The sequence below is a fragment of the Homo sapiens genome, chromosome 20 (genome assembly GCF_000001405.40).
Source record: "Homo sapiens chromosome 20, GRCh38.p14 Primary Assembly".
NCBI lineage: Eukaryota > Metazoa > Chordata > Mammalia > Primates > Hominidae > Homo > Homo sapiens.
In genome coordinates this window covers 17,318,772-17,332,027 of record NC_000020.11, presented here as the reverse complement: position 1 = coordinate 17,332,027, position 13,256 = coordinate 17,318,772, and the positions used below count along the sequence as shown (strand labels likewise).

The window sequence follows — 13,256 nt, the reverse complement described above, 5'->3', positions numbered from 1 at the left end:
TAGCATGTAATAAATGCTCTGTAAGTGTGAACTATAATTATTATTATAACCAGTGCCTAGACCACTGAGAAAGTTTTGATAATAGAAGAGCTTCTAATGACTTCTGATATCCATCTTTCTCATAGTTCCTAGCATCCAAGACCAGGGTCCTAGCCTACAGGTTTGATTTTGACCCAATTACTTTACTTTTCTGAGTCTTAGTTACCATTTATCAAATAAGGTTGCACACTTCTGCCAACCTCAGAGGTTTTTTTTTTTTTAATCACACGAGATGATGGGCATAAAAATACTTTGAAGATTATGAACCACCATTGCTGTCATTATTTTTACCTTCTCTCCAATAATAAAAGCAATTCTGAGTGGTTCACAGTAGAGAGATCATTTAAGTGCCCCAAGATCTGTTTTTCTGGTGGTCAGTCACAGACTGGCTGTTTGGATTTTTATAAATGCCAGAGCTTATCCTGGGAAGGGTCTTACATTGGGTTTTCAAACTTGTCATAAAATTCAACTTGAGATTCTTTAATTATACTTTCAATTTTCATGAAGTATTCTTTACTTGTCAGGTGGATTGCAGCTGAGAATGGAAAAAGCAGTGAGTTTGTAGACAGAAGGCCTGGGTTTAATAGATGGTTCATGACTCAGGTTCTTCTTGGCTGTGACCTCAGAAAGTTATTTAACTTCTGGGTAAAATGAAGGTGACACTCATGAAAGTGTAAACTGTACGGGGTTATTTGAGAATCTAATAATGTCCAACGTGCTGCAGATGTGCTGAAACATTCTTTTACATACTTTATGAAGGAAGTGTGATCAGCACAGCCCACAAGGAGTGGGCTGGAAGAGTCCATCCAGCTCTGAAGTAGGAACGCTGTTTGAGTCAGGAGCGCTACCTTTAGATCTATCCATGTCAGTTCTTTGGGTGCTTACCTTTTAAACATTTTCAATCCCCATCTCCTATGACTGATTCTCACTGTGGAGACTAAAAGAGCCAGACAGCTGCTTACCCAGCTTCCCTTGTAACCTGGGAAGGCCATGTGATCTGTTCTGAGCAAAAGATATAAAGGGGGCATCTGACAAAGATTTTTTTCCCCTTCATGAGTGAAGAAAGAGCTCTTTCTCATTTTCTCAGCTATGCTTCTGCTTCCTGCCTTTGGAAGCTGGAGTAGGAAGATGTGCTCTCTGGACCCGCAGTAACCATCTTACAACCACAGGGGATGGTTGAGACAATTGCAGAGAGCATCCTGAGGCCTGGATTGTTAGCTGCTGGTCCAGCCTCAGACCTGGCCACCTGTAGACTTCCTGTTACATTGGCTGATTGAAGCCTTTATTATTTCAGTGATTATTACTTCTGTTCTTGGCAGCAAAATAATTCTTTATTTTATTTTATTTTATTTTAATTTATGTATTTTTATTTGAGATGAAGTCTCACTCTGTCGCCCAGGCTGGAGTGCAGTGGTGCGATCTTGGCTCACTGCAACCTCTGCCTCCCTGATTCTGCAACATCTGCCTCCCTGGTTCAAGGGATTCTCCTGCCTCAGCCTCCTGAGTAGCTGGGATTAAAGACACGCGCCACCATGCCCAACTAATTTTTTTTTATTTTTAGTAGAGACGGGGTTTCGCCATGTTGGTCAGGCTGGTCTCGAACTCCTGACCTCTTAATACTCCCGCCTCGGCCTCCCAAAGTGCTGGGATTACAGGTGTGAGCCACTGTGCCCGGCCAAGAATTCTTAGTTGATATACTATCTCACAGTCTCTCTCTCACATAGAAAGGAAGGTCTAGAGCTGTATTGTCCCATAGGTAGTCACTGCCCTGTGTGGCTACTGAGTACTTGAAACTTGGCAGTCTGAATTGATTTGTGCTCTAAGTGTGAAACACACACTGGTGTTTGAAGACTTAGTACAAGAAAACAATGTAAAATATCTCATTATAATTTTGTACTGATAACATGTTGAAATGATAATATTTTGGATATACTATGTTACATAAATATATTATTATTTAATTTCTCTCATTTCCTTTGCTTTTATTATAGAAATGTGGCTACTTCATATTATGTACACAGTTGTGGCTCACATTACATTTCTATTGGCCAGTTCTGTTATAAAAAGATAGATACCAAACTAATGATAATAATGATTACCTCCGGGGTGTGGAGATGAAAGAGGGGCTCGATATAGAGGGAGATTTCTGTTTTTCCTTCATATACTTCTTGAATTTTCCACACTGACCATATATTTACGTAACAGATTATCTTCTGTGACTTTTAGGAATATAGGACAAGATCAAAACAAATGAGTTAATACATGCAAATATGCTTCGCTTTGTCAATTGTTTTTCTTTTTTAATTTTCATTTTGTGTAACAATCCTGCATATGTAATTTGTCAATTGTTAAAGATATGCACGTGTTAGCTGAGAGAGCGAAGTTTTTAAACTTGGTGACCGTCTATTTTGGAACATTATATGCACTTCAATACGTGTAATAAGTCTTTCAGTTTAAATATTAGACAAAGCTTGTGGAGAAACATGTAGGGTTTGCAGTAATAAAACAGAATGTGTTTGTTTTTAACAGTAGAACTCTATATAAAATGATCTTGCTTCTGAATAATTGGGAACATTTTCATAAGTTTAAAAATAAAAGGTGACTTGTAAGGCAATCAAGATGTTTTGGGGTTAGCTCATATATAACTAATAATATTTATGATAACCCTCTTTTTAGTGGTAGAACACAGCATCTTGTAAAACAGCCCAGACTTATTCTGGCTCCTGCCTTATTGTGATGTACTGCTAGGTTTCTTTTTCTCCAAAAACCCTCGAGTCATTAAATTTTGGATTTAACATTGATTTACTCCTTTTGAAGTTTTGCCAAATACAAAGAGAAATTACTAAGCCTAAGTGATTAAGGAAGAATAATGGTTTGTTTTTAGTCAACACTGTGTTTGGTATTTTAATTATTATTATTTTTAATTAAAAAGCTAGTGTGCCATTCCCAACCTGCTAATGGAGCTGGAGAAGAAAATAGCAACCACGTTCTGAAAACCAAAGAACTCTAATTCATCAAGCCAGGCTGCAGGGAGGGAAGATCACCCACAGGATGTCTTAGCTCTGCTGTTTGCTGTGTTCTGGCAAAGTTTAGATACTAATTGACATTTAGTTGAATGCACTGGAGTCTTTGAGTGTAATTTCATGACTGTCGACAACTCCCATGCAGAAATCCAAGTGATTTTGCTTCAGTTTCATCATTTAACTCACAGCTCAGCCACAAGTTGACTGTGTGTTGTTAGCCAAGTCAGTTTTTCCTCTGGTCCTCATCTTCTAGGCAAGTAAAATAGGGCATTAGATTGGAAGATAATCTCCAAAACCTTTTTCGACTTTGAACTTGTGTCCTCCTCTCCTCTTCCGTTTACCATACATAGCACCCTTTCTCACCAAACATACAGTGTATCAGTAAAACTGTCATTTAAAGCTGCAGGTAATTATCTGCATTACAAATATCCCCACTGCTAATAAATATGTACTAAATTATGTTTGTCTATGTATTTTAATATATATAAAATTGCATATAATTCTATAATTATATGTAATTCTACAATATATAAAATTATGTATAATTTTATAATATATATAATTGCATAATATATAATTATGTAATATATGTTAGGTAATATTTATATATTGCATATGGTATGTGTAACATATAATTATATATATATTAAAATACACACACACATACATGGGAAGGAAACTCCATTGTGGAAAACCTACACATAAAATTCCCAAATCCCAAAAACTTTTCTGGGAGAAGTCAGAGAAAAAAAGCAATATATTTCCAAATCTTTAATGAAACTTAAATTTAAAAATGCTTTGTAACTACCGTTTGGAAATTTAACGTTGGTGAATGCATGATGAGCTTGCTTCCTTTTATCCTCTTTGTTCATTTTCCTACCACTCTTTAAAGGAGGAAGTAAGAAATCTTTGCAAGCATTCATTTCATTTCATGGTGGGATTGTTCTAGGTGCAGAGGCAGGCTCAGGATTCAACAAACACAGCCGCTTAGCAAATTTCTTCTCAACATGGGCATCGCGTGCGTGTATAAAAGCATGATTTACTTGGTGTTTTTGAGGCAGCAGTAAATAAATTTGGAAGCACTGAATTGTATTAGAAAAACATGACTGAGCATTTAAAGCTTTTTCTCAGTGAAATTAATGGTGTGTTTGCTGGCAATCTCTTTCCCATGCATTAATAGGGAAAAAGTGATTTACCAAAAAATGGTAATAGAAACCAGCAAATACCTTAATTTGTTGTATTATTCTGGCCAATTTAAAATTCGAGGAAGCAGAAATGGCACTGGCGGAGACACAGCGGTAGCAGCTGCTCGGTGACTTCGTGGAGGGTGCACTGTCTATGGGAGGGAGCGCCGCGTTGCCATGGCAGCGAGCAGGTCCGGGCGCCGCTCTGCCCCAGGGAGGAGAGGGGAAGGGGCAGAGGGCGTCTTCCTTCCTTGGTATTTACGGGTGGGGGTCGGGGTAGGGCACAGGACCTAGCATTTTGCTAAATCTTTGGAGGATACAGGATGTATTCATGTTGGCCCCTGCCTTCACGAGACTTACAGTTAGGCCGGGCGCCCTCGGAAAATGCATCTGCTTATGTCCTGTGTCCTGAGGACTTAGGGGTGAGCCAAAGTTGACATAGCCCCGACCCACCGGGAGCAGACTTCTTGGGAGGAATGTGATTGACACAGCATTTACAAGGGAGATGGATTTCTCAAAGGAAAGCTGTTGTGCATGCATTTGTCGGGGATCTGATCTGTTCGTGGTCTCAGGATACCTTCTTTGAGGTGAACAGTGCTTTCTTTGAAAGGAGCTGTGACTTCAATTAGATTTTGAAAAATAAATGATCTTGTAGCTGTGGACTTTTAAGTTAGCCTGTTTACATTGTGTTACTGCAAACGTATAGAAGCTTGGAGTTGGGTCTAGAATTCATCCAGTCTTTTCACACAGATGAGGAGACAGAAGAAGGGGGAGGATGAGAAGACTACAGATATACTGAGAAGAGTAAGATCACAGTGGAGTGAGGCTGGAAGGAGCCCAAAGGGAGGCTGCATAGGGACTGAGGGCAGGCAGCCCCACATCCCAGGCAGCTGGCCTCCCCCGGATTGAAGATTCTGACAGGAGCCCTCTCCATGCACCTCCAGTCCCTCTCTGAGCACGTCTCAGGTGGGTACAAATAAATCCTTTGTCTCAGAGTCCCAGAAGAGGGCTTTTTCTTCCCTAGATAACAAATCCGTCATTTGTAAGACTGTAATAAGGTTAAGAACTTGTTGAGTCTAGACAAGCAATAATTCTTGCTGTCATAAACCACATTCCATCTCTGACTGCTGTGTTTGTTAAAACCATTTTATTTTTATTTTGGAATAGTTTCAGATTTATAAAAATGTTGAAAGCACAGAGTCGCCATATACTCCTTACCCAATTTCCCCTGTTATTAACATCTGCCATTAGTATGGTACATTTCTCACAACTAATGACACGATGTTGATATATTATTATTAAAGCCCATATGTTATTCAGATTTAATTAGTTTTTAACTAATGTCTTATTTCTGACCTATAATCTCATCTAGGATTCCATATTACTTTTATTCATCATAGTTCCTTAGGTTCTTCTTGGCTGTGACAATTTTCAGACTTTTCTTGCTTTTGATGACTTTGACAGTTTTGACAAGTACTGTCTCTGACAGCTTTTCAAAGGCATACAACATACACGCTGATGGAGGGCTTGATTGCCATTTGGCTGTTTGCTTCTCTAAATGCTTCTTATCATTCACCTGACCTCTAATATTGAGGTAGATTGCTCGTTGGCTTTGAATTTTCATCCTTTGCTGTACCCATTGTGGGTGGAGGTACTAACCTACTCTTGACTTTGGACTTGATCATGTTGAGTTGTGTTGGCTAATGGCATGGGGGCAGAAGAGATAGTGGGCCATGACTAAGCTTAGGCCTTAAGAGGACTCCTGTGATTCCACTTGACCTCTTTTGCTTCTGTCATTGCAGCGAGAGGAATATGCCTGGGCTAGGCCCCTGGTGGCTTGAGAAAAACATACTTGGGCTAGCCCACTGGTGGCTTGAGAAGAATATACCTGGGTTAGCCCACTGGTGGCTTGAGAAGAACATGCCTGGGCTATACCACTAATGGCTTGAAAAGAACATGCCTGGGCCATCCCACTGGTGGCTTGAGAATAACATGCCTGGGCTAGCCCACTGGTGGCTTGAGAAGAACATGCCTGGGATAGCCCATTAGTAGTTAAGAAAGATGAGAGGCACGTGGAGCATTGTCGCTTTCTGCTGAGCCTCATCTAGAACAGTTTACCCCAGCCCACGTCTAGATGAATGGACAATAACCAATGATTGTTGTTTTTATCCTCTGAGCTTTGGAGACACTTGTTACATTTGTTACGTAGCAATAGTTAATTGAGATATGACCTACCATTGAGTAGATGGAAGGCTTTATAAAAACTTTGAAAAATATTTGGTATTAAAAAAGTATTTCTTTGGGAACATGTAATCAAGGTGATCACACGCCCCATTGGGTTATTTTAGTGTCTGTCATGAGAGAACATCTTTCTCATTGAAAATATGAGCTGCCTCACCTCTAAGCCAAAAGGACAATGTCTTTTGCTATTTACAAACTGTGTAGTGATTTGTGAAAAACCAAAATTGAGCTGCTTATAAATGTGTTCATTCACTTATTCATCTCTTCAACAGCTATTTATTTGGTACCTAATATGTGCTGGACCTTCTGCTTGGTGCTGAGCACACAGGGTGAGTAAAAGTGGAGACAGCCTGGACCCACAGGGAGCTGACTTCTTGGGAGGGAGGCAAATGACATGCAATTACAAGGGAGATGAATTTCTCAAAGGAAAGCTGTTGTGCATGCATTTGTGGGGGATCTGACATGTTTGTGGTCTCAGGAAATCTTCCACGAGGAAGGCTGACCTGAATTCTGCAGCCAAGAGGAGTTTGACTGGGCAGAAGAGGGGAGCCTTCTATGCACACTGTGTGGCAAGGAGAAGCATGGTGGCCTCGCGACACTGCACAAAGCCTGGTAGGGCTGGACTTCAGGATGAGGAGGGGGCTGTGAGGCAGTAGGGGGTCTGTCTTCTGGCAACCCAGTATTTGAGCACCCTGATTATTTGGGACATCCCCATTTCCTTCTGCAGATGCTGAAGTAGGGGAAGAGACCTTTCTCCATGCACTGTGGGAGCATGCTTTTTAAGCATATCAAGCCCACAGCTCCTTCTCAGGCTGTAAGTCTTTCGGGAGGGCCAGGAGGGTACATACTGGTTAGAGAGTTCCATGGGGGCTACTGATAGCTGAACATTCAGCAGTAGGGGGAGTATCTGGGTTGTGGAATCTGGCAGCAGGAAGAGGGTGATCAGGACCAAGGTGGGCTAGGGTCTGCAGGAGTGTCCTAAGTCGATGGTTCTTATGGTAGGGCCTTGGTTACTCGTCTCTAAATCAGCCTGGTTCCCATCTTGCTAATCTGATTCTGTGAGAGATGCCCTTGTAATAAATTCATTTTCTGCATTAGTTACCCAGATTCTACTTCTGTTGTTAAACCTAAGAACCCTGATAAGAATAGGTAGGTAGGTGCCAGATCATGCCAGCTCTTCCAGGTCATGTTAAAGAAAGTGGCCTCTTGCTTAAGAAACCTAGAGATCCATACAGAGGTGTTGGAGATGGGAGGTGACTGTCAGATTGGAGCCAGTGGTTATAGCCTGGTATCATTTGAGCTTCTCCAGAAGACCCCAAGACAAAGACTTGAGTATAGTTTATCTAGGAGGCAATCCCAAAAAGCAACAATGGGGAGAAAAGGCAGCCAATACAAGGTATGTTATCAGGCTTGTTACTACTGTCCACAACTAGGTGTCAATCCCATTGGGGAATTCTGGGAATAGTACAGAAAACATGTCTCAGAGTCATCCCACGTGAGGGAGGAGGGAACTGGGGTATTTGTCCACCAACTCCCATCAATCATTGGTTGAGGGCTTCTCTGGTGGGGAGCATTCACTACTCAGAACTTCCAATCTGCCCTGAACCAGGGCCAAGTGGGAACTGCCTAAGATGAAGAGTTGCAGGTATTGGCAGTTGGAAATCACAGAATCTCTGCTCCCAGAAATGGTCAGGCCTGAGGACAGTGGGTGGGACACAAGAGTGTCAGCTCACCTGGATAAAACACTGGCTGGCTTTTATATCTTATAAACAAAAATGCTGTCCTAGGCTGGAGGCTGTAGAAAAGAAACAGCAATGAGTGCCCTGTGCTGCCCATGGAAAACTGAGCAATTGAAGAAACATATAACAAAGCTTTAGTTACTTTCTATTTAGTCCCTATTTATAATTTGTTTCTGCTTCAGAGGAAAGTTTAAAATATGCAGAACTTGGTTTTGTAGTTCAGTAGACTGAAGTTAGAACCCTGGCTCCACATTAATAGCTTTGTAATCTTGGGTATGTTACTTAATCTCCTGTTTCTGGAAGTACCAAAAAGATGACTGTGAACCGATTATATTAGTTTGCTAGGGCTGTGAGAACAGGTGGCTATAAATAACAGAAATTTATTTGCCCACAGTTCTGGAGGCTGGAAGTCCGAGATCAAGGTGTTGGCATGTTTTGTTTCCTCTGAGGCACCTCTCCTTGGCTTGCAGATGGCTGTCTTCTCCCTGTGTTTCCTCACATGGTCATCCCTCTGTGTGCGTCTGTGTCCTAATCTCCTCTTCTTATAAGGACACTATTTGCTATGGTCTGAATGTCCCTCAGAATTCATGTGTTGTAACTTACTTCCCATTATGGTGGTATTAAGAAGTGGGGCCTTGGCTGGGTGCGGTGACTCACGCCTGTAATCCCAGCATTTTGGAAGGCTGAGGTGGGCGGATCACCTAAGGTTAGGAGTTTGACACCAGCCTGGCCAACATAGTGAAACCCCATCTCTACTAATAATACAAAAATTAGCCAGGCGTGGTGGCATGCACCTGTAATCCCAGCTACTCTGGGAGAGTGAGGCAGGAGAATCACTTGAACCCAGGAGGTGGAGATTGTAGTAAGCCGAGATCACGCCATTGGACTCCAGCCTGGGTGACAGAGTGAACTCCATCTCAAGAAAAACAAAACAAAACAAAACAAAAAAGAACTGGGGCCTTTTGGAAAGTGATTAAGTCATGAAGGTGCCACTTCCATGAATAAATTAATGCCCTTATAAAAGAAGCATCAGAGAGAGTTCACCTTTCTTGTCCTTCCATCACTTCTACCATGTGAGGACACAGTGTTCCTTCCCTGTGGTAGATGCAGCAACAAGGTGCCATCTTGGAAGGAGAGACTGGGCTCCTGACAGACCCCATAACTGCTGGCCTTGGCCTTGATCTTAGACCTACCAGCCTCCAGAACTGTGAGAAATAAATTTCTGTTCTTCATAAATTATTCAGTCAATGGCATTTTGTTATAGCAGCACAAATGAACTAAGACATAAGTCATATTGGATTAGGGCTCAACCATATGACATTGTTTAACCTTAATTACCCCCTTGAAGGCCTATCTCCAAATACAGTCTCATTCTGAGGAAGGGGGGTTGGGCCTTCAACCTATGAATTTTAGAGGGGCACAGTTTATCCCATAACACCAATGAAACAGCTTACTTATCAAGATTGATGACTTACTCATCAATACTCCTTTCAAGACCCTTACCTCCATATGCTTACCAACCCAAAGAAACTTTTCATAAACTTTTCCAGTCCCAACAAGTGCCCTGCCTTGCAAGACCAACTTCGAAATCACCCAGCTCAGGCCCTAAAACCATTCTCCATTAAGACAATGTTCTCTCTTATTGCAGGAAGTGTGATAAGCTTTGCTTGATCAACAGGTTTCTTTTGTGGGCTTTGAAGAGTAGATAAGATTGAATAAAATGATCAATGAGTACTCTGTTATAGTACTTGGCATTTAGAGGTGTTTAACCAGTGTTAGTTTTCTTCCCTAACATTGGTTAAACACCTCTAAATGCCAGGTACTGTAGCAGAGAGGTACATCACAAGAGAGATTTTCAAAGCATGAACGATAATTTTTATTTTTCTTCCTTTGTTATGCCCAATTGACAAAACCATCTCACTTCAAAATCCTTCTGTCTCTCTGTTTTGTCTGAATAAATCTATGCCTGATACAAGTCAGCAGTTTCTAGATTATTTTCAACTCTTTTTAATAGTTCTTGGAATGTCGGAATCAATTAGAGGTTAGTCAAAGGTTTTTTCATGTGTAATACAATTCTGCTGAAGATGGCAGTTGGTGGGAATCTTGCAGACTCTAGCAGTTGAGAGTGAATTATGGAATCAACTACTGTTATGTAAATTACAAGAAAATAGAGGATAATTTGTTTCTCCCTGTAGGATCAGAGCATGATGCTCTTCACATTGAAAGAAGTACTTATCATTACCTGATTTTGTTAGAGCTTTATATGCCTGTCTTTCCCCAAAATGGAAAGCTATTAGAAAGAAAGGATTATTAGCTCTATACTTGCTATGTAATCCAAGACAGAGTCTACACACAGTAAAACTTCAACATAAATTGATTAAGTAGAATTGAATTTAATCCTCAGCAGTGAGGAGAGTATTGGAGAGTGGGGAAGAAGGAGGACAACATTTGTGTGCCTTTCATGGATGGGCTGCTTACATACTTCTGTCACTGCAATCCTATGTGGTCAGAATTGCTATTGTCTTTTAACAGATAAGGAAACTGAAGTTGAGGGAGGATAACTTGGCCAAGGTCACAGTTTTGAGAGACGACAGGGACAGAATGAAATCCAGATCTAACTAATATTGCTTCCTAATGGAAAGCAAGGAAAAAATCTTTGCTTTCCTGTTGAGTAACTTGGGTGAATAATGTTGAAAACAAATACTTTATTTAAGGCAGCTGAGACATTATTGGTTGGCATAACAACAACAACATAACCCAACCAGTCAACAGAAGGGGGAAAAGGCAGAAATAACCGACAGGGCTGTTTGATGCCTAACATTTTGCTTGTTTTACTAATGTGTTGCTTTTCATGTGCTTGCCTTGGTTTTAGTCACAACCATTATACATTTAAGCTAGTCCTGACTTTCTAGTTAGTACTCCGGCGATGGTTAAGGCAGAAGGACTCTAGCCTTTCCCATATTCCTTCTGCATTCTCCTGTACAAGCTTGAAGCTGCTTTTAGAAACCCCAAAATACTGTCTCTGCCTGAAGGCTTTTCTCTGACTCACTAGCTGTGTGCCTAAGGAAGAGTGATGTGCTGGAGAACTAATCCTCCCCGAGCACCCTCCAGCGGTCTCTGACAGGGAGTTTGTGGATAAACACCCAACTTTCTTCCCATTGGGTGGATGACTGAGTCATGTTCTCCACAGTTTCCCAGAGGTGCTCAGCAAGCCTGAGTCCCAGTTGCCCACACTGGTAATTTCCTTGAAAACACACACTTTATGGTGTTTCTTCCCTTTCCTGTCTCACTTCCTCACTTTCACATTGGTGCTGCCTGAGGAACTTGACCTGGGTACAGAACACTTTTAGATCAAGTGGGCTGGCTAGGGAGGGGAGACATGAGAATTCAGCTCTTCTCTGCTGCAGTGGATAACTGCAGTTATGAAAAGAAGACACTGATTCCAGGAGGATGTGTCTTGCGACCAAGGGAACGAGTCTCCCTAAGGTGCACTGTAGGAGGAGGAATTCAGGTTTCAGAGTATGTCCTATGAGTTCTATATGATTTCTGGGAACAACATGGATGAGAGCTAAGTGTCTCCTGGGCATACACCTTTTGCAGTAGGACAGTTCTCCCTGGAAAGGCAGTTCATGTGCACATTGAAGTTTGAGAAGTACTGCCTTATGAATCTGAAAATAATATAAGAAAAACATAACACCTTGAGCTTCAGTTGGTTTTCCCTCATTACATCTGCTTGTTTACCTGCCCACCTGAGCTCTGTCTTTTCTTTCTGAAAATATTTTCTAGACTCTTTAGTCCTGATAGATTTTCCCCTTATAAATAAATTTTCCTATCCTAAAAATTAAGTGAAACTACTATATCAGTGATTCCAGATGCTTGCCAATACCTTCATAATTAATGTAGTATTGAGTTAGTCATGTGACTTTGGGCCCAAAAAAGTCACCTTTCTGAATTTAAGTTGTCCAAAGAAGGATTTGAAGATAGCTGAGATCCATTTTGGCACATGCTTACATGATTCAAAGTCCCTAGAGTTTTGGTCTGGTGATACGGATAAAAGCATTTTCAAGGATACGTCTGTGGTAGGTTGTTGCAGTAACGTCCTTGATTTATACCCCCCTCCCAGTGTTCACCCCCTTGTGATTTCCTGCCCATACTGGCCCTAGACCTGGCCAAGTGACTTGCTTTTGCCAGTGGAATATAGTAAACATGCTATAAGCAGATGCTTGAAAAATGTTTCTGCACTGGGGCTTGTTCTGTCTTGCTGCATCTTGGAACACTGTTGACCACCAGCATGTGAACAATCTTGGGCTACTCTGTTGGAGATATACAGGGCCCAATCCCTTGCACCTCCCAGACAGCAGCCAGCATTAAAACCAGAAATGTGAGTGAGGCCGTTCAAGACCAATCGGCTCCTACTGACACCATCAGCTGATTGCCTCTGCGTGAGGAACCCCAGGCAAGACAAGCAGAAGATCCGCCTAGCGGAACTCATCCTAAATGCCTGACCCAGATTATAGTGAACTAATAAATACTTTTTGTGGTAATCTATTATGTCTTAATGGTTTGTTACATAGCCAAAGCTAACTTATTGCAACTTTTTTGTCTTTATCTTATCGGGGCGTAGCTTGGTAACTATTTAAAATGGGGAATTATAGGAGCCCAGGTATAAAAAAAAAGTCATTTTAATAATCAGAAATTAGTTACAATTTACAATTAATTATTTAATGGCTCACTAATGATTAATTCTTGGTTGATTACATCCTATCTGATGAAAAAATATGTTTTTCTCACAAAGCATGATCTGTCTTCAAACACTGGCTCAGAAATGAGCATTACACATAACAAGATGGGGCTTTTCTTCTCTGTCTTATTCCCCCATTTCTGATTGCAGCTGAATTGAATAATCCTGCTCTGGCTGTTCTGATTGTGTGTGTACTCTTCCCATGGGCTTCTTGTCTAAAGTGGCAGATGTATTTCTCTCTATCTCCCTGAAGAAATGACAATAGAAGTAAATTGTGGCCCTGTAGCTT

General features: G+C 41.2%; 1 protein-coding gene and 1 long non-coding RNA gene across 5 annotated transcripts in view; one reads left to right on the top strand and one right to left on the bottom strand.

The window, feature by feature from the left end:
• Positions 1 to 13,256, bottom strand: part of PCSK2 (proprotein convertase subtilisin/kexin type 2) — a 258,472-nt gene that overhangs the window by 152,551 nt on the left and 92,665 nt on the right. The gene's annotated exons all lie outside the window — the stretch shown is intronic.
• Positions 5,130 to 13,256, top strand: part of LOC105372546 (uncharacterized) — a 94,422-nt gene continuing 86,295 nt past the window's right edge. The window contains exons 1-3 of one of the 2 annotated variants that reach the window (XR_007067541.1): positions 5,130 to 5,212; positions 6,760 to 6,816; positions 6,966 to 7,043. This is a non-coding gene — a long non-coding RNA (uncharacterized LOC105372546). Of the gene's footprint in view, positions 5,213 to 6,759; positions 6,817 to 6,965; positions 7,044 to 13,256 lie in introns of those variants that run through there. The other variant, XR_007067540.1, reaches the window with a different exon arrangement.